This window comes from Homo sapiens, chromosome Y, assembly GCF_000001405.40.
Source record: "Homo sapiens chromosome Y, GRCh38.p14 Primary Assembly".
Classification (NCBI taxonomy): Eukaryota; Metazoa; Chordata; class Mammalia; order Primates; family Hominidae; genus Homo; species Homo sapiens.
The window spans coordinates 2,367,574-2,394,206 of record NC_000024.10 but is presented as its reverse complement, the minus strand read 5'-3'; the positions used below and the strand labels follow the sequence as shown (position 1 = coordinate 2,394,206).

At 46.2% G+C, this 26,633-nt stretch overlaps 1 protein-coding gene across 1 annotated transcript in view, besides 4 other annotated features; it reads left to right on the top strand.

Moving 5' to 3' along the window:
- DHRSX (dehydrogenase/reductase X-linked) overlaps positions 1-26,633 on the top strand; it is a 281,471-nt gene that overhangs the window by 106,770 nt on the left and 148,068 nt on the right. The gene's annotated exons all lie outside the window — the stretch shown is intronic.
- Positions 344-1,154: an enhancer, noted in NCBI's record as "H3K4me1 hESC enhancer chrX:2311094-2311904 (GRCh37/hg19 assembly coordinates)". NCBI's record gives its function as "activates a minimal SCP1, AML or CMV promoter by ChIP-STARR-seq in primed H9 embryonic stem cells {active_cell/tissue: H9 hESC(primed)}" and the evidence as "EXISTENCE:reporter gene assay evidence [ECO:0000049][PMID:30033119]".
- Positions 1,838-2,402: an enhancer, noted in NCBI's record as "NANOG-H3K27ac hESC enhancer chrY:2259846-2260410 (GRCh37/hg19 assembly coordinates)". NCBI's record gives its function as "activates a minimal SCP1, AML or CMV promoter by ChIP-STARR-seq in naive and primed H9 embryonic stem cells {active_cell/tissue: H9 hESC(naive and primed)}" and the evidence as "EXISTENCE:reporter gene assay evidence [ECO:0000049][PMID:30033119]".
- Positions 1,838-2,475: a biological region, named in NCBI's record as "NANOG-H3K27ac hESC enhancers GRCh37_chrX:2309773-2310384 and GRCh37_chrY:2259846-2260410".
- Positions 1,864-2,475: an enhancer, noted in NCBI's record as "NANOG-H3K27ac hESC enhancer chrX:2309773-2310384 (GRCh37/hg19 assembly coordinates)". NCBI's record gives its function as "activates a minimal SCP1, AML or CMV promoter by ChIP-STARR-seq in naive H9 embryonic stem cells {active_cell/tissue: H9 hESC(naive)}" and the evidence as "EXISTENCE:reporter gene assay evidence [ECO:0000049][PMID:30033119]".

The window sequence follows — 26,633 nt, the reverse complement described above, 5'->3', positions numbered from 1 at the left end:
CTGCCCTCTCCTCCGGCGCCCTGTCTGCTCAGATGTCCTCATGGCCTAGGCACCTGCAGCCGCCAGGACAGTGAGCCCGGACACAAGCAGCCTTCCATCCGGTTCCCCCTGCATCTGCCAACCCATCTTGCCCACAGCCAAGCTTCTGTGAAAAATCATAGCAGTCATGAAACTCATGAGTGCTCGGGCAAATCAGAAAAATTGCCAGGGATCCTACCATGGACACGCGTCCCTGAACCCCGAATGGTCCCTGTGTGTTGTGTGTGCGCAGGAGACGGGCAGGTCACTGTGTGTCGTGTGTGCAGGAGACAGGGAGGTCCCTGGGTGTTGTGTGCCCAGGAGATGGGGAGGTCCCTGTGTGTCGTGTGTGCAGGAGACGGGGAGGTCCCTGTGTGTCGTGTGTGCAGGAGACAGGGAGGTCCCTGGGTGTTGTGTGCCCAGGAGATGGGGAGGTCCCTGTGTGTCGTGTGTGCAGGAGACGGGGAGGTCCCTGTGTGTCGTGTGTGCGCAGGAGACAGGGAGGTCCCTGTGTGTCGTGTGTGCGGAGGAGACGGGGAGGTCCCTGTGTGTCGTGTGTGCAGGAGACGGGGAGGTCCCTGTGTGTCGTGTGTGCAGAGGAGATGGGGAGGTCCCTGGGTGTCCTGTGTGCGCCGGAGACAGGGAGGTCCCTGTGTGTCGTGTGTGCGGAGGAGACGGGGAGGTCCCTGTGTGTCATGTGTGTGCAGGAGATGGGGAGGTCCCTGTGTGTCATGTGTGTGCACAGGAGATGGGGAGGTCCCTGTGTGTCATGTGTGCGCAGGAGATGGGGAGGTCGCTGTGTCTTGTGTGTGCACAGGAGATGGGAGGCGTCAACACACATTTCATGCTCACATTTCCATTCACTGTCCACACTGCACACTTGTACATGGTCAATGTCTAGACATTTATAGTTTGTTTATGTGTTATATTCATCTACTTTATATATATTCATATTTTAGGTTCATATATTTATTGTATACACATTTATATATTTGATCTATATTAATATTTTAGGTTTATATACTTACTATATATTTATTATTATAAAGCATATACATTAAATTATAATGTATTATTATATATGATGTATTATGTTCAATGTATATATTAAATACATAATGACATAATATGAATTTATATTATAATGTATATACATATGAATTCACATTCATATGTATGTTACATTTTGTAATGTATATATATTTTGTAACATATATTTGTAATATAAAATTATATACAAGATATACTTTGATATATTTTATTTATATATTTATATATAAAACATAATATAATATGCACAATACATTTTGTGTATATATAAAATATATATTACATAAATATATAATGATAACTATAAATTATATTTGTGTCATTATAAATAATTTATATTAAATATTTATGCTATTCTATAAATAGTATATATATTTAGTATATATTTTTATATCATACTTTATAATAAACACGAATTTATAATATATAAGTATAAACTATAGTTATTGGATGTTTAATTTTATGTATATATTATTTTATATATATCATACTATGTAACACATAATATATAATAAATATAATATATAATAAGCATATATCATAATATATAATATAAATAAACATTGTAACATATAATATATAATACATATATATCAGTATACAAAATATAAAATTAATATATACATAAAATTATATACCTACTTATTTTATTTTATTTTTTAAGAGACGTGAGTCTTGCTGTGTTGCCCGGGCTGGCTTTGCCTCTGGAACTCAAGCGATCCTCCCACCTCAGCCTCTCGAGGAGCTGGGACTACAGGCGTGCACCATCATTTCCTCCTAAAATTGTATGTGCTGCATATATAAAATGATAAATGCTTTACATATACTTTATGAAATTATATATGCTTTAGATAAAAGCAGAGGTTTCATAAAACTGAACTGTAACATGCATGGCATTTAAATCCCATTGAAGTGAAGGGCTGGGCTTGAGGGTAGCGTCACCCTCCCTGACCGTCATACCCATTTCCATTTCCCCAGGAAGGACCAGGATGCTTTGTTTAAGCAGCACGTTTGAATTGCTGGCATTGCCTGTGGCCTCCCTGTGGCGAGGGATGGTGAACGACAGCGTTTTCCCTCCTCCTTCCTCACCTTGCAAACCTCACTTCGTTGGATGCATAATTGCTGACTCATCCCCATGGATCGCCTTGGACTGTGTAGCAATCACTGCTCTTTTCACAGTCCCTCTTGAATTTCTTTCCTTTTTTTTTCTTTTAGTCGGAATTTCGCTCTGTCACCCAGGCTGGAGTGCAGTGGTGCAATCTTGGCCCACTGCAACCTTCACCTCCTGGATTCAAGCAATTCTCCTGCCTCAGTCTCCCCAGTAGCTGGGATTACAGGTGTGTCCCACCACACCCAGCTAATTTTTGTATTTTTAGTAGAGATGGGAATTTCACCATGTTGGTCAGGCTGGTCTCGAACTCCTGACCTCAGGTGATCTGCCCACCTCGGCCTCCCAAAGTGCTGGGATTACAGGAGTCCTCTTGAATTTCACTTAAGATGGGCTGGGTGCTTCGTGGCAGGCTTTTCACATCAGCCTTTGCATTTCTGGGTGTGACCCCTGTGTCTGCTGCCTTCTATATTCCTCTCTTACTTGGCAGGATTCCACCCCTAGGTGGGTTTATTTTTTCCCCCAGTCCCCTGCCTGCCTGAGAATTCCTACCTATGGCTCCTCCTGGGAAAGGGCTCTTGGCTGCGTCTTAAATCTTGGGTTATGCCTTGGTGCATACTGGTGTTGCACCAGTGGTGCAACGTTGCCGGCATCCCTTTTGCCTGAGGGCAGGTCACTTGTATTCTGTCTTGAAGGAACCTGACTTTTAAGGAGGGACGACCTGGAGAGTTTCTTTATTATTGAACTTCACTGACTCCCTGAGGATAGACTGATCCTGCCAAATTCTTGGGTCCCCAATAAAACAGCATTCCATGAAATAAAAAGTAAGAACAGATGGCACCAGGAATTCCACTGCTGGGTATATACCTCAAAGAATTGGAAACAGGGTCTCCAACAGATATTTGCACAAACCACGTTTGCAGCAGCAGTATTACTTACAATAACCCGAAGGTGGAGAGAAACTGTGTCCTTCCAGAAGCAAATGGATAAGCAGAATGTGGTATATCCAAACGGTGGAATATTACGCAGCCATAAAAAAGGAAGGGTATTCAGATGCATGCTGCGATGTGGGCTAACCTTGAGGACATTAATGCTAAGTGAAATAATCCAATCCTAAAAGGTGGAGAGAAACTGTGTCCCTCCACAGGCAGATGGATAAGCAAAATGTGGTGTATCCAAATGATGGAATATTACACAGCCATAAAAAAGGAAGGATATTCAGATGCATGCTGCAATGTGGGCTAACCTTGAGGACATTAATGCTAAGTGAAATAAACCAATCCCCAAAGGACAAATACTGTAGGATTCCACTCCTATGAGGTACACAGAGTACCTTTAAATTTTTAGAGACAGAAAGTAGAATGGGGTAGTTATAGGGGTTGGGCGAGGAAAAGGTGGGGACTTAATGTTTAATGGGAACAGAGTTTCCATTTGGCAAGATGAAAATATTTTGGAGATGCATGGCAGTGATGGCTACATAACAATATGAATGTATTTAATACCACTTTACTGTGTACGTAAAAATGGTTAAAATGCTAAACTTTATGTGATGTGTATTTTTCCACAATTCAAAATTATAAAAAAAAAAAATGCAGCTGGGCATGGTGACTCATGCCCGTAATCCCAGCACTTTGGGAGGCCGAGGCGGGTGGATCACCTGAGGTCAGGAGTTTGAGACGAGCCTGACCAACATGGAGAAACCTCCTACTAAAAATACAAAATTAGCCGAGTGTGGTGGTGGGCGCCTATAATCCCAGCTATTTGGGAGGCTGAGCAGGAGAATCGCTTGAATCCGGGAGGCAGAGGTTGTGGTGAGCTGAGATCGCGCTATTACACTCCAGGATGGGCAACAAGAGCAAAGCTCCATTAAAAAAAAAAAAAAAAAAGGTTAAAATGCTAAACTTTATGTTATGTGTATTTTTCCACAATTAAAAATTATTTTAAAAATGAGGCCGGGCACGGTGGTTCATGCCTGTAATCCCAGCAATTTGGGAGGCTGAGGCGGGTGGATCACTTGAGGTCGGGAGTTCGAGACCACCGTGGCCGACATGGCGAAACCCCTTCTCTACTAAAAATACAAAAACTAGCCTGGCATGGTGGCTCAAGCCTGTAATCCCAGCTCCTCGGGAGGCTGAGGCAGCAGAATCACTTGATCCCCGGAGGCGGAGGTCGCAGTGAGCCGAGCTCATGCCACTGCACTCCAGCCTGGGTGACACGGCAAGAATCCATCTAAAACAATAAAAAAAAAATAAAATAAGTAATTGCCCTTAAATTGGAAATGCTCAACAACCCACGTGATTCTGAATCTGAAAAGGCCAGATCAGGGAGATACAGAGAAGAATAAATAAAACACAAGGCAAGAGAAGATTTATCTCTGGAGCATCCTTGTGCAGCTGTTGGTGAGTGACTCGTGTGTGTCAATTGATCATACACTCATGAGTGGATAAAAGTACCCATGTTTTAGGTCAAGAAAGACTGTGACACACGTGTCCAGCACGCCAAGCACACAGCCCGTGGGGTGTCATCCATGTGCTGTGCCCTCCCTGTCTCCCTCTCCCAAGCTCCTGCATGGAAACAGAGGTGGACACGAAACCTACCTACCCACCCCCTCCCAGGTTACCGCCATCACTTTCATCACAAAACAGAGTCTGGATTCAGGGATTCAGCCCAGGGCAGGAGCTCAGGTCATCTTCCTCTTTCAGAAGGGAGATTTCTGCTGCCTCTGGCCCAGCCTTTCCCTCTCTTTCCCCCCATGAGCTGCCATTGGAGCACCCACCTGGGTGCAGGTGAGAGAGAGGAGGAAGGAGACCAGGTGACCCCTTCCTGGCTGGTTACCCTATGTCCCGGTAACAGACGGTTAGAGCTGATTCTCATGGCAGAAGCGTGACTGCCAGAGACCACCTGCGGCGCTTCTAATGCTCTGGTCCGTGTATTCGTCTTGTAGCGTTGCCGAGTGTTACAGAGATCCACAGACCAGGTGGTTTAAACAAAAGATACTTATTCTCTCACAGCTGTAGAGGCTACATGTCTGAGGTCACCGTGTCGGTAGGCTTGCTTTCTCTCTGGCTTGTAGACGCCGTCTTCTCCCTGTGTCCTCACAGAGTCCTTCCTCTGTGTGTGTCTGTGTCCTCATCTCTTCTTATGAAATGTCTTAGTCTATTTCAGGCTGCTGTCACAGAATACCATAGGCTGGATGACTTACAAACAAGACATTTATTCTCCCACAGTCCTGGAGGCTGGATGTCTGAGATCAGGGTATGGGCAAGGCTGATTCCTCCTGAGGTCTCTCTCCTGGACTTGGAGATGCTGTCTTCTCCCTGTGTCCTCACAGAGTCCTTCCTCTGTCTGTGTCTGTGTCCTCATCTCCTCTTCTTATGAGATATCTTAGTCCATTTCAGGCTGCTATCACAGAATACCATAGGCTGGGTGGCTTAGAAACAATAGACATTGATTCTCCCACAGTACTGGAGGCTGGACATCTGAGATCAGGGTATGGGCAGGGCTGGTTCCTCCTGAGGTCTCTCTGCTGGACTTGGAGTCACCGTCTTCTCCCTGTGTCCTCACAGGGTTGTCCCTCTGTGTGTGTCTGTGTCCTCATCTCCTCTTCTTATAAGGAGCCAGTCCCATTGGATCAGCCTCCCCCCAACCCCCTGAAACCTCATTTTACCTTAATTGCCTCTTTAAAGACCCCATATCCAAATATGATCACATTCTGAAGTCCTAGGGGTGAGGATCTCAATGTATGAATTTGAGGGGGACAAAATTCAGCCCATGACAACCAGTGTTTCTTTCCAAGGGGCTACCTGAAAACGTTTCTGCAACCCCCAGCAAGCTGGCATCGTCTCAGCATCTTGCCATGGGGTTCCCTCCATGCCTCCCAATGGCTCCTTTGAGTAAGACCAAGGACAAACCCATACCACTCCCTTCTCCTGTTTTCTCTGCCCTCATTGTCCCCTCAAGCCCTGAGGCTGATCAGTCCCCACAGGACCACAGCTACCCTGTAGCTATGAGCAGTGGCTTCCTCAGGAGTGAGCCAGGCTCCTGTACCCCATGCCTCCCTGGCACAGAACAAGATTTAGGTTCTGGGGGTACCTGAGGGAATCCCGTTTTTTTTTTTTTTTTTTTTGCAGGGGAGGGTGGAGGCTCAGAGTAGGGAATTTTTTTTTTTTTCCGCCTGCTGTGAGGAAATTCACCCCTGTTATCTGATCCATGCACACTCTGGAGCTGGCTGAGGTCCTAACTATTTCCTCTGTAAACTTCTGCCCTTGGAATGGGTTCTGCGATGATTAATACTTAGAGTAAACTTGATTGGATTGAAGGATGCAAAGTATTGATCCTGGGTGTGTCTGTGAGGGTGTTGCCAAAGGACATTAACATTTGAGTCCGTGGGCTGGGAAAGGCAGACCCACCCTTAATCATCTGGGTGGCCACCATGTCATCAGCAGGCCAGCGAGGCTAGACTATAAGCAGGCAGAAAAACATGAAAAGACTAGACTGGTCTAGCCTCCCAGCCTGCATCTTTCTCTGTGCTGGATACTTCCTGCCCTGGAAAACTGGACTCCAAGTTCTTCAGCTTTGGGACTTGGGCTGGCTTCCTTGCCCCTCAGCCTGCAGACAGTCTATTGTGGGACCTTGTGATCGTGTGAGTTAATACCGAATAAATGCCCCTTTCTATATATCTATCCTGTTAGTTCTGTCCCTCTAGAGAACCCTGACCAATACAGGGTCCGTTCCTTACCCCCTACATCTATAACCCTGCTGCCTCAGTTGATAGGGAAGCAGAAAGAGCCGCTTTTTTAATGTTTAATTTTATTAAGTTTGCAGTTTCCCAGTGCCCAAACTCATGTTGATTTCAAAAACTGTCCTTTTAAAGCATGTGGGCAGGGTGACAATTCATAGCAGGTGACAAAAATGTTTTATAAATAATATCCATGGAAATGGAAGCTGTCACTGTCTGCAGAATGCAGCCAAAATATTCAGAAGATTTGTATCACTCTAAGTTCTCGTGCTAGTAAGAAATAAAAAAGCAAATGATGACTGGGCCTCTAAGAAATAAAGTAAAATTAGGAAGCAGGAGTATGAAAATAATGACATTGTGCAGAAATAAATACAAAAGGAAAGTAGCAGAGAAGCAAAAAAAAAAAAAAACAAAACCATCAATAGTAGTTTCCTTAAGAAAAATGAAAGAATAATATCCCACCATTTATTCATCCTTCATTCCACACACAAAAGAAGCAAGGACAGATTAGCATGAATTGGAACAAGAAAGAGGAAATAACATGTAATAAAAATATGATTTAAACTTATGCAAAAAAAGTAATTTATTCTTAACTCAACTAACATATTTGATTACCTCCTCCTGGGCAAAGGATGAAAGGCTGTCTTATTGCAAAAAATTAGAATTTTGCTAAATTCATGCAAATGGAATTACAGATCACAGATAAAACAACATGCTGAAATTTCAACCGTCAGAACTTTCCACCAAGTGTTCCTAATGAATTCTTGAATATCTGGTTGGGTGCAGTGGCTCACGCCTGTAATCCCAGCACTTTGGGAGGCTGAGTTGGGCGGGTCACCTGAGGTCCAGAGTTCGAGACCAGCCTGGCCAACATGGTAAAACCCTGTCTCTACTAAAAATACAAAAATTAGCTGGGTGTGGTGGCACAGGCCTGTAATCCCAGCTACTTGGGAGGCTGAGGCAGGAGAATTGCTTGAACCTGGGAGGTGGAGGTTGTAGTGAGCTGAAATCATGCCACTGCACTCTAGCCTGGTGACAGAGCAAGACTCCGTCTCTCTGTCTCTCTCTTTCTTTCTCTCTCTCTCTCACACACAAAATAAATAAATAAATAAATAAATAAATAAATAAATAAATAATTGATTATCTATATACTTTTTCCAAACCATCAAGGACAATCTAGATCAAGAATCTGGAAACTGTTGACCCTGGAACATATCTGACCCTTAACTTGTTTTTCTCATTAAAGTTTTCTTGAAACACAGCCATATACATTCATTTACTTATTGCCTGTGACTGTTTTTGCCTTAGGTACACAGGTTTGAAGAGTTGCAACAGAGACCTTATGGCCCACAAATCCTAAGGTGTGTAGTATTTGGCCATTTATCCAAAAATCTACTGGCTGTACTCTTCAAAGTGACCAGAGCCACCAACCTGTGTCTGAGTAAACCGTTTTACTCCCAAATGAACACTTTTCAAAGAAGCATCATCGGCTGGTTCTACTTACCAACCTAAATAAAGAAAATCTAGTTTAATCTTATCCACTGAATAGACTTCCAGGTTAAAAAAAAAATTACTCCTGACTTAGTTGCAACTCATCCACCTGTAGACCAAAGGATGCTTCTCATTAGGTAACAGGGAAGCATTTGGGATAATTCAACATCCATTAATTAGTAAACCTCTGAAGGAATTAATCTCATAACAGCAGCCGGAATGCAGGAGATGCTCTACACCCGAATCACAAATTGAATGGATGGCAAGTGGATTTTCCCTCCTAAGGCTGATTGATTGGTTCTGGCTGCCAGCACCCTGAGATAAGAATGATCCTGCAGCAAGGAATAGTCATCAATTAGTGATGCCTGCTGTGGCTATGGAATGAGAATTACGGTCTGTGTGCTACATTCTTTCCATTCTTGGTGGTTCTCTCATAAACCACAATAAAGCATGCATCTTTTAAAGCAACCATGACCATCACTAGCCACCACCATAGCCCTCTGGCTGATTCATGGATGAATTTCCAAATTCAAATGTGAATTTCCAGTGTCACATTTGTGTTCCTTTCCCTAAATGATGATGATGGTGATGATGGTGATGGTAATGATGGTACTTGTTGGATGTGTGTATGTATGTATACACACACACACATATATATACACATACACACACACACACACACACACACACATATATATTTGAGATGGAGTCTCACTCTGTCGCCAGGCTGGAGTGCAGTGGCACAATCTTGGCTCACTACAACCTCCGCCTTCCAGGCTCAAGCGATTCTCCTGCCTCAGCCTCCCGAGCAGCTGGGACTACAGGTGCGCAGCAAATGTATATATATATATTTTTTTTTCTTTTTTTTTTTAAATTTATTTATTTTTTATTATTATACTTTAAGTTTTAGGGTACATGTGCACATTGTGCAGGTTAGTTACATACGTATACATGTGCCATGCCGGTGTGCTGCACCCACCAACTGGTCATCCAGCATTAGGTATATCTCCCAATGCCATCCCCCCCCTCCCCCCACCCCACAACAGTCCGCAGAGTGTGATGTTCCCCTTCCTGTGTCCACGTGATCCCATTGTTCAATTTTAAATACAACCAAATAAGCTTGCTTCTTGCCTGTGTGGAATTTATAGTCCAGCTGGAGTGAGGAATTAAATAATCATCCACTTATCTGAGTGAGCAAAATTATGATAAACACTCTTAAAAAGTGTCCTTTAACAGCTGTCTTGAAAGATTCAATTCCATCCTCTCATGAGGTTCCACCCTCTGGGTTTGCTTTCTCCAAGACCTACCCTCCTGTGTGGCTTCTTTCTTGACTGTTTCTTTTATGCTGCCTTTCCTCAGCGTTTCCTCGTAGCATCTCACACTACACACCTTTCCTTAGGTCTTGCAACCACGTCCGTGTTCTCCAAAACTCTGCTCTGCTAGTTCTCACCAATATATTTGTTTCCAAACTCCTGCCTCCTACACCTCCCTGCTTCCACAGCAAGTGCAGGAATGTATTTGACATTTTCCTTCTCTCTGTGTAAGTCAGTGGACTACCATCCTCTCAGCTGCCTACAGTCGATCCTAGAGTGTCTGAGATGCTTTTCTCCACCTTGGCATTCCTCTCCCTGGTGGCAACTGAGAGCTCTGTAGACCACCTACATGCTTATCAAAAACACTCCGTCATTTTCGGTATCACTCCCTACAGCAGGTCACACCTATCCCTTACCTGCTTCATAACTCTGCTTCCTGGCTAGTCTCTCGGCTTCCAGGTTTCCCTCCCTGAACTGTCTACACTGCAGTCAGAGAGATCCTGCTGAGTCACACTGTTGTCTTAACCTGCTTAAACCCATATGGGCAGAATGCCCTTCATGCCTCCACCTGTTTGCTGTAGCTGTGCACATGTGGTTCCTGGTTCTTGAGAATTCTTCCCCTCCTCTGCCTCCTGACCATCCAAGTCCCTTTCATGCTAGTCTTCTCAGCTTTTATAGCATGCTGTAAAGCAGTTGTCCTGAAGCCAGGTGCCTTACAACTCCCTGCTCCCTTGGGACACTTAATCCCTTCTATCGCCAACCTCACACATTGTATCGTTGGTTGTTTAATTGTGTCACTGATTTCCCCAGCCCCATGATGGTCCATGGAACATCACTGGGATATAAAAAGTACTGGCCAAAGGAATAAAATACAGGAAAATATTTTGTGCATTGTGGGATCTCATGAATGACAGCTGCCACAATGATGATGTTGATGATAATGGTGATTCTGATGGTGATGATGGTTGTGATGATGGTGGTAGTGATGATGGCAATGATGATGACAGTGGTAATGGTGATGATGGTGATAATTATGGTGATGGTGATATAGTAATGACTGTGATGATGGTGATGATGATGATGATGGTGATGATCATGACGATGGTGATGATGGTGATGATAATGATTATGCTGCTGCTGCTGATGTGATAATGATGATGGTGATGGTGATGATGGTGTTTATGATGGTGATGATAGTGATGATGAAAATATTGGTGTTGATGATGCTGATGCTGATGGTGATGATGATGGGGTGATAGAAATGATAATGATGATGGTGATGAGGATGGTGATAGTGATGGTCATGGTCATGTGATGATGATGATGGTCAGTGATGATGATGGTCATGATGGTGATGACAATGGTGGTGGTGATAGAAATAATGATGATGGTGATGGTGGTGATGCTGCTGCTGCTGATGATGGTGATGGTGGTGATGATGATGATGGTGATAGTGGTGGTAATAGAAATGATAATGATGTTGGTGATGGTGATGATGCTGCTGATGATGGTGATGATGGTGATGGTGATGATAGAAATGATAATGATGGTGATGATGGTCATGCTGCTGCTGCTGCTAATGATGGTGATGATGGTGATGGTGGTGATGATGATGATGATAGTGATGATGATGGTGATAATGATGATGGCGATGATGATGGTGATGATGGTGGTGATGACGGTGATGGTGATGATGATGGTGATGATGGTGATGGTGATGATGATGATGATGATAGTGATGATGATGGCGATGATGATGGTGATGATGGTGGTGATGATGGTGATGGTGATGATGGTGATGATGGTGATGGTGATGATGATGGTGATGATGGTGGTGATGATGGTGATGGTGATGATGGTGATGATGGTGGTGATGATGGTGATGGTGATGATGGTGATGATGATGGTGATGGTGATGATGATGATGGTGATGGTGATGATGATGATGGTGATGATGGTAGTGATGATGGTGGTGATGGTGATGATGGTAATGATGATGGTGGTGGCTATGATGTTGGTGATGGTGGTGATAGTGATGATTATGAAAATGGTAATGATTGCTGTTCATGGATTCTGTGAAAGAACCAACCCCTTTTCCTGAAACAATCTTGCTCTACTTGACTATCTGTGGACTGTTCTGTGTCCTTCCTCCCAAGTCTCTGTGGCTTGCATGTCCTCCTTCTGGTGGGTAGGTTGGCCAAGTCTGACACCCTCAACTCTGCCCTCCTTCCATAGCTAACAACAGCCCTAATATCCGAAGACTCAGGGATTCTGCTGTCAGCTCCCTTGGCTCAGCCAAGCAAAGACTGTGCTTGTGGGAGCCCAGAAAGAGGGAATGGAATACTTCTCCAGAGAGTAGGTGTTGCATTTCTGAATATTGTAATTAAGCCAGATGAGTCTAGGCAGGCCCACAGGACCTCTTCAGGCATCTTCTTGTCCATGTTTTGCACTATGCAGGAGAAGTGATGCTGTCAGCCATGCAAGCCATGGCCCCCCATACAGCAGACTCTCCTACGAAGCCATGTAGCTTGCAAACAATGCCATGTTTTAGTTTCATGTTACCCCTCCTGCAGATTTGCACATCTAGGCTCTGCTTTTAAAATAATCATGCACCTGTCAGGCTGGAAGTTTTCAGGAAAATCCTTCTCACCTCATGTGTGTTGCTGGCTTTTTTTTTTTTTTTTTTTTTTTGGTTGTGGCTTCCTGAGAACGGGGATGCTACAGCCTGCCACTGTTGGAACAAAGGTGCTTTTAGTCACTCTACCTGTCGCTCTTAGGGAACGTACGTGCCCTCAGGGGAAATAGGCGGATGCACATTTTGCTTCTGGCTCTTTTGCCTCTTTATTTTTTTCATTTTTATTTTTTTGAGGCAGAGTTTCCCTCTTGTTGCCCAGGCTGGAGTGCAATGGTGTGATCTCGGCTCACCACAACCTCTGCCCTCTGGGTTCAAGCGATTCTCCTGCCTCAGCCTCCTGAGTAGCTGGGATTACAGGCATGCGCCACCATGCCCAGCTAATTTTGTATTTTTAGTATAGACGGGGTTTCTCCCTGTTGGTCAGGCTCACACTTCTGGAGGCTAGAAGTCCAAGATCAAAGCATGCCACGTTCAGTGTCTGGTGAGGACCTGCTTCCTGGTTCACAGACGGTGCCTTCTCACTCTTGTCATCACGTGGCAGAAGGGTCGAGGGAGCTCTCTGGGGTCCCTTTTAGAAGGACACTCATCTCATTCCTGAGGCCCCACCCTCATGACCTCATCACGTCTTAAAGGGCTCCACCTCTTAACACTATCACCTTGTAGGTTATGTCTCAAGACAGGGATCTGGGGCCGGGTGTGGTGGCTCACGCCTGTAATCCCAGCACTTTAGGAGGCTGAGGCAGGCGGATCACCTGAGGTCAGGAGTTCGAGGCCAGCCTGGCCAACATGGTGAAACCCTGTCTCTACTAAAAATACAAAAATTAGCCGGGTGTGGTGGTGCACACCTGTAATCCCAAGCTACTCAGGAAGCTGAGGCAGGAGAATCGCTTGAACCTCGGAGGCGGAGGTTGCAGTGAGCCGAGATCACACCACTGCACTCCAGCCTGGCGACTGTGTGAGACTCCGTCTCAAAAAACAAAACAAAACAAAAAAGCAAAAGCAAAAACAAAACAAAACAATAACCAAAAAATGGGGATTTCGAGAGGACACAGACATTGAAACCATAGCACATGGCGACCTTGAGTCTTTGAGTTTACGTGTGCAGCATGAATGCTCGGTGGTGATGGATGAAGAGAGAGCAAGGGGGGAATGCCACACACTTCTAAACTGTCAGACCTCGTGAGAACTCACTCACTATCATGAGAACAGCAAGGGGGAAATCCGCCACCATGATCCAATCACCTCCCACCAGGTCCCTCCCTCAACGCTGGGAATTACAATTCAACGTGAGATTTGGATGGGGACACAGAGCCAAACCATAACAGCAGCAATAGTAAACTCATACATCATATCTATACATCTCTCCTGAACCATCCCTGCTAGACTCAGTAGGACCTGTAGAGACCATCTTTCCCTGTATTCCTTCAACATCCTGCTTCCTTATCATATGTTTCTAAGGTTGTATAGTTCCATGAGAGATTACAGCTACTTTTTTTTTTTTAAGACATCTCATCCTGCAATGCAGTCTTTTTTTTTTTTTTTTTTTTTTTTTTGAGACGGAGTCTTGCTCTGTAGCCCAGGCTGGAGTGCAGTGGCATGATCTCAGCTCACTGCAACCTCCGCCTCCTGGGTCCCGGTTCAAGCAATTCTCCTGCCTCAGCCTCCCGAGTAGCTGGGATTATGGGGACGTGCCACCATGCACAGCTAAGCTCTGTATTTTTAGTAGAGACAGGGTTTCACCATGTTGGCCAGGCTGGTCTTGGACTCCTGACCTCATGGTTTGCCCGCCTCGGCCTCCCGAAGTGCTGGGATTACAGGTGTGAGCGAATGGGCCCGGCCAATGCAATCTTTTAGCAGGAAATCCATCCAGGATTTTGGAATCAACAGAAAAGAAAAACCTTGGGTTTTGGAGTCTCAGATTCTGGCGGTCCTGCTAGATGTGTTGACGAGTGTGTTGGGCCAGTTAATTACCCTCATAATTGTTCTAATTGCTTTTATCCTGCAAATATCCCTCTGTGTTCATTAGCTTTGCCATTACGACTGAGCCCAAGTGGATTAAAGAAAGCCTGTGATGCCACCAGACATCATTTTTGTTTCGGCAAAACAGCTTTCTCTAGGAATCTGGCCTTAATGTGTTTTGGATGCCCCCCACACTGACAGGGTCCTTCATGAGCTCTCCTGGATAGAATAACACAAAAAACTCAAAGCCCATTTTAAGAAACAGCAGCATCATTAAAAAAAAAAAAAAAAAAAAAAAACCTCCACTGCCAGCCCACAGGTCGCTCATTTTCTTCCTAGAAATAAATTCCAGTTGAGTGGACACGTCTTTTACGGGGGAATTTCAGTCGTGATTGATCATCCGTTGACCTGTTTAAAATGATTGTCAAGTGACTGGGCTATCCTCATTCACAGATAACTCAGGCAGGCTCAGATTAATTAACCCTTCGTTTGTTTGCCATGTAGGACTAATTAGTCATCATCCATCTACTGGGAATCAGACGTCATTGGCACAGTTATCAAGGACAGGGACTTTGCCGGCTTATCATGTAGAAGGAAGAATTAATGGTGTTGGTGATATATGGTCTTGTGTAGTGGTAGGGTATTCCTCTCCCTCTTTTCTTCATGTTCTTCTTTCTTTGCTTGCCACACATTCATTTACAGGGGACTCTGAAGCCACGTGAGGGTTAGGGGCACGTGAAGACCTTGTGTAACTCTTCACTCCCCCAAAACTTAACTAATAGCTTGCTGTTGGCTGGAAGCCTTTCCTGCAACTAGACGGTCCCATCTAGGGGTAATGGGAGACAGTGACAGATCATGAGGCAGGTCATTATTGCACCAGACACAAATAATATAGTAATATTCTTACAATAAAGTAAGCCAAAGGCCGGGCGCGGTGGCTCACGCCTGTAATCCTAACACTTTGGGAGGTTGAGGCAGGCGAATCACCTGAGGTTGGGAGTTCGTGACCAGCCTGACCATCATGGGGCTACCCCGTCTGTACTAAAAATACAAAAAAGTAGCCAGGCGTGGTGGTGCGCACCTGCAATCCCAGCTACTCGGGGGGCTGAGGTAGGAGAATCACTTGAACCTGGGAGGTGGAGGTTGCAGTGAGCCGAGATCGCACCACTGCACTCCAGCCTGGGTGACAAGAGCACAACTCTGTCTCAAAAAAAAAATTAATCAAGAGAAAAAAATATAGTATGTATTATATACTATATTCTTACAATGAAGTAACCTAGAGAAAAATATAGTAAATATTCTATATTATATTCTTACAATAAAGTAAGCTGTGATTTTCCTTAAGAAAATCGTAAGGATGAGAAAATATCTTTACTGTTTATCAGGTGGAAGTGGCTCATGATAAATGTCTTCATCCTCGTCATCTTGACGTTGAGGAGGAGGAGGAAGAGAAGGGGGTGTCTCGGGTGGCAGAGGCAGAAGAAAATCCACATATAAGGGGACACCCATTCAATTCAAGCCCGTGGTGTTCAAGGGTCCACTGTCATAGGGGAGGCTCAATATTTTAGTTTCCTGGAGCTGCTGCGACACAATTCTACAAACCAGCTGGCTGAAAGCCACAGAAGTCAAATCTCTGACAGCTCTGAACACCAGAAGTCCACAGCCAAGGCAGGCTGACCACCTGGTCATCCAAGGGCAGAGCCCGTGTCAAAGGACATTCCTGGAGCAGAAAGCCAACACATCCGGGTGGAAATACAACCTTCCAGTCACTAAGTATATTTGCAAATCTCCAGCAGGTCACTATTGCACCAGACACAAAGAATAAGCGTTCAGTAAGTTGAAGTATTGTGTGCACACGGCCGGGCGCAGTGGCTCATGCCTGTTATCCCAGCACTTTGGGAGGCCGAGGCAGGCGGATCACGAGGTCAAGAGATCGAGGCCATCCTGGCCAACATGGTGAAACTCCATCTCTACTAAACATACAAAAAATTAGCCGGGTGTGGTGGCACGCACCTGTAGTCCCAGCTACTCAGGAGGCTGAGGCAGGAGAATCACTTGAACCCGGGAGGCGGAGGTTGCAGTGAGCTGAGATCATGCCACTGCACTCCAGCCTGGCGACAGAGCAAGACTCTGTCTCAAAAAAAAAAAAAAAGTATTGTGTGCACACTGCAATTATGAAATGCATTTCATTCTGGAGTATTAAGGCAGGGCTGTGCCCCTTGCGGAGGCTCTGGAGGAGGATCCTCCGCTATCTCTTCTGGCTTCCTTCGCTAGCTAGCAATCCTGGTTGTTTCTTGTCCTGTAGAACAGAGGACTCCAACCCCCTGGCTGTGGACTGGTACTGAGCAAAGCTTCATGTGTGTTCACAGCCACTTCCCACTGCACGCATTACCGCCTGAGGTCACCTCCTGTCAGATCAGCAGTGGCATTAGATTATCAGAAGATTGAGAACCCTATTGGGAAGTGGGCAGACCAGGGATCTGGGTTGCATGCTTCTTATGAGAATCTAATGCCTGATGATCTGCCACTGTCTCCCATCACCCCCCGGATGGGACCATCTAGTTGCAGGAAAACAAGTTTGGGGCTCCCACTGAGTCTACATGGCAATGAGTTGTATTGTAGAATTACTTCATTTAACGTATCATCATAGAAATAAAGTGCACAATAAATGTCATACGCTCAAATCATCCCCAGATCCTTCCCCCTGCACTCACAGTGACTGTCTTTCTATGAAGACAGTTTTTGTGTGTGTGTGGAAAAATTGTGTTCCATGAAACTAGTCTCTGTGCCAGAAAGGCTGGGGACGGCTGGTGTAGAAGCATCAATACAGTATCTGCCTTTGTCGTGGCCATCTCTGTGTCTCTATGCCACAGTGTTCCTCTTCTCCTTTTTTTTTTTTGAGATAGAGTTTTTGCTCTTGTCACCCAGGCTGGAGTGCAGTGGTGTGATCTCGGCTCACTGCAACTTCTGCCTCCCGGGTTCAAGTGATTCTCCTGCCTTAGCCTCCTGAGTAGCTGGGACTACAGGTGTGCACCACCGTGCCCGGCTAATTTTTGTATTTTTAGTAGAGACAGGGTTTCACCATGTTGGGCAGGATGGTCTCAGTCTCCTGACCTCAAGATCTGCCTGCCTCAGCCTCCCAAAGTGCTGGGATGACAGGCGTGAGCCACTATACCCGGCCTCCAATGTTCCTTTTCTTATAAGGACACCAGTTATTCAGTTAACAGCGTACACTACTCTAATGCAACCTAATTGTATGCAATGACAACCTAGTTGTATGCAATGACACTACTCTAGTGCAACCTAATTGTATGCAAAGATCTGATATCCAAGTGAGCTTTCATTCCTAGGTTCTGGGTGGACACATCTTGGTGAGGTCACAGTTAAACCCACGTCACCCAAGGCTAGGGGCAGAATCAGAGTGGATGTTAGATCTCCAGGCTCTTGTTCTGGGAGTGTCATTCAAAGCCTTTCTTCATGGCCACCTGAATGACGATGTCATCCTCTGTGGGTAACAGACACCAGCATTGTGAATGATGCTGGCTTCCTTTGCTGGTTTCTTTCTGACATTTCCCTTTTGTGCTTTCGTTTATGGCAAGTGTAGACATACATGCACACTCAGACACATACACACACGCACACATGCACTCTTGCCATCTACAATGCCTCAGATCCGTACTGCAATTGGCCCCAGCCACCCTGTAGAATTTAGATTTAGCGAAAAAAGACTTCACGTGTTCGCCAAATTCTGCGTTTCCTCCTGAGTCAGAGGCACCTGCAATGCAGGCAGCGGGAAGTTGTTCTTCTACCAGAACAAGAGCCCCTAGGAAAATTGCCCCTTTTATTACTGTTTTGGTCAAAATATGGCAACAACATTGGTGACTCCAGGCGAGTTAGTAAAAATCACAGAGAGGCACATTTTGTGTCCGGGGAATGCTGGGATGCTCCTAAAACCCACTGAGCCGGCCGGGTGCAGTGGCTCCAGCCTGTCATCCCAGCACTTTGGGAGGCCGAGGCAGGTGGATCACGAGGTCAGGAGATCGAGACCAGCTTGGCCAACATGGTGAAACCCCGTCTCTACTAAAAATACAAAAATTAGCCAGGCGTGGGGGTGCACGCCTGTAGTCGTAGCTACTGAGGAGGCTGAGGCAGGAGAATCACTTGAACCTAGGAGGCGGACGTTGCAGTGAGCCGAGATCGCACTACTGCCCTCCAGCTTGGCGACAGAGTGAGACTCTGTCTCAAAAACCAACCAACCAGCCAACCAACCAACCAACCGACCAACCAACCAACCATCCCATCGAGCCGTTCTCTTGCTGACTCAAGAGAGAATAAATCAAGAAACAAACACACAAGGAAACCAAAACAACCCTGTAGCTGAGGATTCTCCCCTAGGAGGAAGAAAACGGGCATCCACACGGCGTGTGCCCAGCTAAATATAAACTGCGAGGGGAAGGGAGGAGACAGTGATGACAAGCCCCAGCCTTTTCCACAAGAAGAAAAAGGTTTAAGTTTTCAATGCTGCCCATGATATCCAAGAACGAACCGCATTTCACAGCCGCGGTGTGCATACCATACTTTCACTTATCGGAAGCTCATTCATTGTGTGATGTGCACTAATTACCCGCTGGAGATTTGAGAACGCACCTGCTGACTGGGAGGGCGTATTCCCACCTGATGTGGTTGCTTTCTGCACTCCAGAAATTCCCTTTGAGATGGGCTCCATCCTTCCATGACAGCGTGACCGCTTGTCCTGTAGTCACAGTGTTGTCTGAAGAATGCAGGATAGTTTATTTTCATTTTTGTTTATTTATGTTTCTGTTTTAGAGGCAGGTTCTTGCTCTGTTGCCCAGGCTGGAGTGTAGTGGTGCTATCTGGCTCACTGCAGCCTCTACCTCTTGGACTCAAGCGATCCTCCCACCTCAGCCTCCTATGTAGCTGAGACTACACATACATGCCACCAACACCCAGCTATTTTTATTTTTTATAGAGACAGGGTCTCACTATCTTGCCCTGGGTGGTCTTGAACTCCAGGGCTCAAGGGATCCTTCCACCACGGCCTCCCAAAGTGCTGGGATTACAGGACTGAACCTGGCCTTGCTGTGGTCTGTTTCGAGAAGACTTTGTTTTTCGTTTTTTGTTTTTTGGTTTTTTTGAGATGGAGTCTCGCTGTTGTCACCCGGGCTAGAGTGCAATGGCGTGATCTCGGCTCACTGCAACCTCCGCCTCCCGGGTTCCAGCAATTCTCCTGCCTTAGCCTCCCAAGTAGCTGGGATTACAGGCATGTACCACTATGCCTGGCTAATTTTTGTATTTTTAGTAGAGATGGGGTTTCTCCATGTTGGTCAGGCTGGCCTCGAACTCCCGACCTCAGGTGATTTGCCTGCCTCGGCCTCCCAAAGTGCTGGGATTACAGGCGTGAGTCACTGTGCCCGGCTGCTCACCCAGCTATTTTTATTTTTTGGATGGGGTCTCACTATGTTGCCCTGGGTGGTCTTGAACTCCTGAGCTCAAGGAATCTTCCCACCACGGCCTCCCAAAGTGCTGGGATTACAGCCCTGAGCCTGGCCTCACTGTGGTCTGTTTTGAGAAGCCTTTGTTTTTAAACAGAACCACATGTTGGTATTTCAGAGCCAACTCTTCTGTCAAGAATCCAAATCAGCCAGGCACGGTGGCATGCCTGTGTAGTCCCAGCAATTCCAGAGGCTGAGACAGAAGGATCATATGAGCCCAGGAGTTTGAGATCAGACTGGGCAACATAGTGAGACTCCATTTCTTTAGAACAATACTAATCACATGAGGGTGGTAGGCCATTGCCTGGGCTGGACAGGTGAGTAGAGGGCAGGTGTGCAGGTGCAGAGGTCTTTTTTTGTCCTCATTCCATGCACGACTGTTTCTCAAACTTGCTATGCTAAGATGCTACAGGAACTTACTTTACGTCACAATATCATTGACCTTTTTTCTTCCTTCCTGTGGCTTCCTCTTCCCCCACTCTCTCACCTGTGTGCCCTATTTTGGATAACCCTCCTCCTGGGTTCCTTTCTCACCATCTCCTGCTGTCAACATCTCACCTCTATTTCCTGGCCGGATGATGCCTCCTCCAGGAAGCCTGCCTAGGTTTCCTGTTGGCTTGCAAACTCTATGTGGGTGCGAACTGTCCACACCGCGTCAGGTACGCAGGGGCCCTTGAAGTATCACACGTTGGCAGCTCAGCCCTGAAAACTTCAGCTCCAGATACAACAACCCCTTCCCCTTTTCTCCAACCTGATAATTTATAACTCCAGGGTGACTCGGTTCAGCGGCACTGCAGTCCCTCAGCTCTTCCTTGCAGCAGCCGTGGTTTCCATGGGATGTAGAGGGTTATCCTGCTTGGAAAGCATTAGAGCTGGGGGACTAGAGACCCCCTAATTCTGGCGTGGGGAGAATGGAGGCCCCAGAGGAAATGGAGCAGGTGTTTTAGTGGAAAAGCTGGTTTTGAAATTCCAGCCTCGCCTCAGAACACAGCATAGCTTCCCTAGATGATGTTTCTTTTGAAAGGTCTCCTCTGAAAAGAGTGTGAGGATTCTGGCAAACTTGCAACAATCTCTGTAACGATGGGATGGCTGTGTCCCCACCCACATGGCACCTGGAATTGTAATGATTCCCACCTGTGAAGGGTGGGGCCAGGTGGAGGAAATTGAATCATGGGCGCGGTGACCCGCATACTGTTCTCGTGGTAGTGAGTGTGTTCTCACGAGATCTGATGTTTTATAAATGGAAGTTCCCCTACAGGAGCCATTTTGCCTGCCGCCGTGGAAGATATGGTTTTCGTCTTCCGTCGTGATTGTGAGGCCTCCCCAACCCCGTGGAACTGTGAGTCCATTAAAGCTCTTTTTCTTTATAAATTACCCCGTCTCGGGTATGTCTATCAGCAGCGTGAGAATGAACTAATACAGATGCAAAGTAGAGCCGCGGTTTATGAGCCACAAGAAATACCAACCCCCAGCCAGGCGCGGTGGCTGACGCCTGTAATCCCAGCACTTTGGGAGGCCGAGACCGGCGGATCACCTGAGGTTAGGGGTTCGAGACCAGCCTCGCCAACATGATGAAACCCCGTCTCTCTACTAAAAATACAAAAAATTAGCCGGGCAGGGTGGCGGGTGCCTGTAATCCCAGCTACTCGGGAGGCTGAGGCAGGAGCATCGCTTGAACCCGGGAGGCGGAGGTTGCAGTGAGCCGAGGTTGCGCCATTGCACTCCAGCCTGGGCAACAAGAGGAAAACTCCGTCTCAAAAAAAAAAAAACAAAGAAGGAAAAGAAAAGAAATACCAACCTCTCCCTTTCAAACCTAAAACCCCAACATGCTGGATGCTCTAGGGGGTCTCTGGGGCTTCGCTGCTTACGTTTGCCCTTGTTGGGTCCTGGGTTTTTATACTCAACGGGATCCTGGAATTTATGTTTCATTTGTGATTCGGTTCCAATTTGACACAACTGCCTGCCTTCCCCCAGCGGTTCGTGTGATAGACACACTCACGCTGTCAATCATGGAGCTGTGGGGCGCGTCTGGGAGATCTATAGCAAAACTCCATCCACTCCGGTTCCCTTGTATAATACAAAAGGGTTTTATCAGTCATGTATTTCGCCTCAAAACTAGAAGCATGGATTTCCCAACCCGATTCACCATTAAAATTGTGAATTTTTCTGGTTCTGGTAAGGATACGTTGACTGTATAATGGATTACATAACAGTGTGTTTTCTTCACCTTAGTAAGTAGCCCTGGGAGTTTGTAGCAAAGAAAGAAGAAACCCGAGCCTCAAGAAAATTTCTCCGACGATGGTGCCCAGAACAGGGGTCAGGGGTCACGTGTGATGCGCGAAAATTAAATAAGTGATAATTAAGGGAAAAGAAAAACTCAGTGCCTCATTGCACTAACTGTCTGGCAAGCGCCCAGTGTCCAGCTGTGGACAGCACAGTTGTCTGGGGCAGGGAAGATATGGACTTTCCTGCAGAGAGTGCTACTCTGCAGCAGTGAGGTACACCTTTCAGGGATGTCCCATGATGGTGACAGAGACACCAGATACACAGGTAGCAACAGTTTCATTTGAAAAGATCATTCCCACAGATGGGAGCTTTTGCAATAAGAGGAGGAGGGACTACTGTAATGGGAGGAGGAGGGGCTGTGATAATGGGAGGAGGAGGGGCTGTGATAATGGGAGGAGGAGGGGCGGTGATAATGGGAGGAGGAGGGACTATGGTAAGGGGAGGAGTGTGGACTATGGTAACGGGAGGAGGAAGGACTGGTAACAGAAGGAGGGACTCTGCTAATGGGAGGAGGTACTATGGTAATGGAAGGAGGGACTATGGTAACAGAAGGACGGACTATGGTAACGGAGGAGGGGCTGTGGTAACGGGGAGGGTCTACGGTAACGGGAGGAGGAGGGTCTATGGTAACGAGGAGGGACTATAGTAACGAAAGGAGGGTCTGTGGTAACAGAAGGAGGGACTATGGTAATGTGAGAAGGGGGGACTGTGGTAACGGAGGGTCTATAGTAATGGGAGGAGGGACTATGGTAACGGAAGGAGGGACTATAGTAACGGGAGGAGGGTCTATGGTAATGGAGGAGGGACTATGGTAACAGAAGTAGAAGGGTCTATGGTAATGGAGGAGGGACTATGGTAATGGGGAGGGACTACGGTAACGGGAGAAGGGACTGTGGTAACGGAGGAGGGTCTATGGTAACGGAAGGAGGGACTACGGTAATGGAGGAGGGGGGACTATGGTAATGGCGGGGAGGGATTATGGTAATAGGGGAGGAACTATTGTAACAAGAGGAGGAGGGACTAATGCAACCACTGGTGGACGCTGCCTATAGCACCATGAAGCACACCCGAGCAGTGACATCTGGGAGCCTCTTGGAGCGCAGGCAGCATACCATTTTCTTTTCTAGGGACAGGCACGTGATGCTCGGAACAACCGTGATTGGGGTCGTTCGATGTGGGGTTCAGTCATGGATAAAAGCTGCCAAACCCTGTGGCTGCATAGCTAATTTTGAGCAGGTCCTAAGGAAGCGTTGCTTGATCCTCTGACGTTTGCTCCAGGTGAGGCTGGCCCAACATCCCGGGGCCTGATAGGAGGAGAGAAACCCAACCAAAATGTGATCACGTTAGATGGGAATTTTGTTCAGGTCAAGGAAGACGAGGAATTCAGTCCATCCCTGAAGGGGCAAATAAAGAATGTGAATTTGGAGGATGTGGCCAGCCTTGTCCTAGGCTGACTTGGAAGCATCTGTGAGTAATGAGGAAGGGAATTTTTTTTTTTTTTTTTTCAGTAAAACCATTTTCTGGAAGACAAAGGCAGTGGGGAATTCTTAACCTTCACAGATTCCCAACAGCACAGTTGTGTGGAATGATGGACTGATTGTGTCTCCGTAAAATACAAAGCCCTCAGCTGGGCGCGGTGGCTCAGACTGTCATCCCAGCACTTTGGGATGCCGAGGCGGGTGGATCACCTGAGGTCAGGACTTTGAGACCAGCCTGACCAACATGGTGAAACCCCATCTCTACTAAAACTACAAAAATTAGCCGGGCATGGTGGCGGGTGCCTGTAATCCCAGCTACTGGGGAGGCTGAGGCAGGAGAATCGCTTGAACCCAGGAGGCGGAGGTTGCAGTGAGCCGAGATTGCGCCACTGCACTCCAGCCTGGGAGACAGAGTGAGACTCTGTTTCAAAAAAAAAGACGAACTGGGACTCCTCAAACTGGGGGAATGGTGCATTTGTAGACAAAACTCATGGTGTGCCATCTGCAGGTGTCATTGTCAGGAAGGTGAGCTTGGTTCATCTGTGCCCACTTGCAAGCTCTTTGGAGAGTGAGGAGCAGGTTGGGAAGCATCTATCCTCAGTCATGAACCCGGAGCTCCTGCTGGAAAAGACAGCCTTGGGGTCTCTGTCATGCACATTTCAGTAGGGGAGTCCGGGCCGGGCACAGGGGCTCATGCCTGTAATCCCAGCACTTTGGAAGGCTAAGGCGGGCAGATCACTTGATGTCAGGAGTTTGAGACCAGCCTGACCAACATGGTGAAACCCGTCTCTACTAAAATACAAAAAATAGCTGGGGCTGGGTGCTGTGGCTTAGGCCTGTAATCCCAGCACTTGGGGAGGCCGAAGTGGGTGGATTACTTGAGGTCAGGTGTTCGAGACCAGCCTGGCCAACATGGTGAAACCCCGTCTCTACTAAAAATAGAAAAAATTAGCCCCGGCTAATTTTGGTGGTGTGAGCCTGTAGTCCCAGCTACTTAGGAGGCTGAGGCAGGGGAATCGTTTGAACCTGGGAGATGGAGGTTGCAGTGAGCTGAGATCGTGCCACTGCACTCCAGCCTGGGTGACAGGGCGAGACTCTGTCTCCAAAAAGAAAAACAAACAAAAAAAAACAAAAACTAAACACATAGGAGAGTCCCTTAGCCCCTCACGAATACTCCACACACACATCTAGTCCAGCTGCATCTTGTTGACTCACAAGACATCAAGATAAGCCTGATTCAATGAAGTTCTTCAAAATCAGAGTTCATTTGCTCATTTTCTTTTCTTCTCTCCACCAATTAGTGGTGAGAGTTTCGCCTGAATCACAGTACCTGCTGTCTCCAGTTCTGATGTTGGTATCACCCATCTTCAGACAAGATTTCTTGTGTTATTTCCACATCAGCTTAGCCACTGTCTCTCAACATGAAATGCTGGCTGGGGGGAAGTTTCAACCGCAGAAGCAAAGCTCTTAAACTCATTGAAAAGACAAGCTCTTTCCCCCTTGGTAGGGTCACGAAGGCTCCTCAGTGAAGGGTGTGGTAGGTTTGCTTCTATAGGGTAGAAATGAGACACCCTGAAAATCAGGAGGCTTTCATTGGCTTTTAATTTACACAGAAGGCAATGTGTAGTTTCAAAATATTCTTTTTTATTTACTTATTTACTTTTATTTATTTATTTGAGATGGAGTCTTGCTCTTTCGCCCAGGCTGGAGTGCAGTGGTGCGATCTCGGCTCACTGCAAGCTCCACCTCCCGGGTTATTTATTTTTTTGAGACAGAGTCTTGTTCTGTTGCCCAGGCTGGAGTTCAGTGGCACAATCTTGGCTCACTGCAACCTCCGCCTCCCAGGTTCAAGTGATTCTCCTGCCTCAGCCTCCTGAGTAGCTGGGATTACAGGCACCTGTCACCATGCCTGGCTAATTTTTGTATTTTTAGTAGAGACGGGGTTTTGACATGTTGGCCAGGCTGGTCTTGAACTCCTGACCTCAAGTGATCCGCCCTCCTTGGCCTCCCAAACTGCTGGGATTACAGGCGTGAGCTTCCGCGCCTGGCCTCAAAATATTCTTAATGAGTAAATACCCGTAAGCATTTGAATACAACCATTTATGTTTTTTGTTGTTTAGCAATTGTTTGAACTTCAATGTGCCTCATAAAAATGTTTCATTATAAAACATTTCACACATTTGAAAGACGCAGAGAATAATTTGAACAGCATTTGTGTACCCACCATCCAGTTGTATCAAATCGTAATGTTTTGCCAAATTAGTTATAAATTACGTATGTGACTTGGGTACCCCTCTCCAATTATTTTGTTATTACATAAAAAATGACTTTATAACATGGGTCAATAGGAGACCTTTTTTCTTTTTTTTTTTTTTGAGACAGAGTCTTATTCTGTTGCCCAGGCTGGAGTTCAGTGCCACAATCTTGGCTCACTGCAACCTCTGCCTCCCAGGTTCAAGTGATTCTCCTGCCTCAGCCTCCTGAGTAGCTGGGATTACAGGCACACGGCACCACGCCCGGCTAATTTTTGTATTTTTAGTAGAGATGGGGTTTTGACATGTTGGCCAGGCTGGTCTTGAACTCCTGACCTCAAGTGATCCACCCTCCTCGGCCTCCCAAAGTGCTGGGATTACAGGTGTGAGCCTCCGTGCCTGGCCTCAAAATATTCTTAATGAGTAAATACCCGTAAGCATTTGAATACAACCATTTATCTTTTTCATTGTTTAGCAGTTGTTTGAACTTCAATGTGCCTTCTAAAAATGTTTCATTATAAAACATTTCACACATTTGAAAGACGCAGAGAATAATTTGAACAGCATTTGTGTACCCACCATCCAGTTGTATCAAATCATAATGTTTTGCTAAATTAGTTATAAATTATGTATGTGTCTTTGTGTGCCTGAGTGTACATGAAATAAGACATTTCAGAGACTATTGTGCTCTTGGGTACGCCTCTCCAATTATTTTGTTATTACATAAAAAATGACTTTATAACTTAGGTCAATAGGAGACATTTAAAATATTATTTTCCATGCATCTTTGTC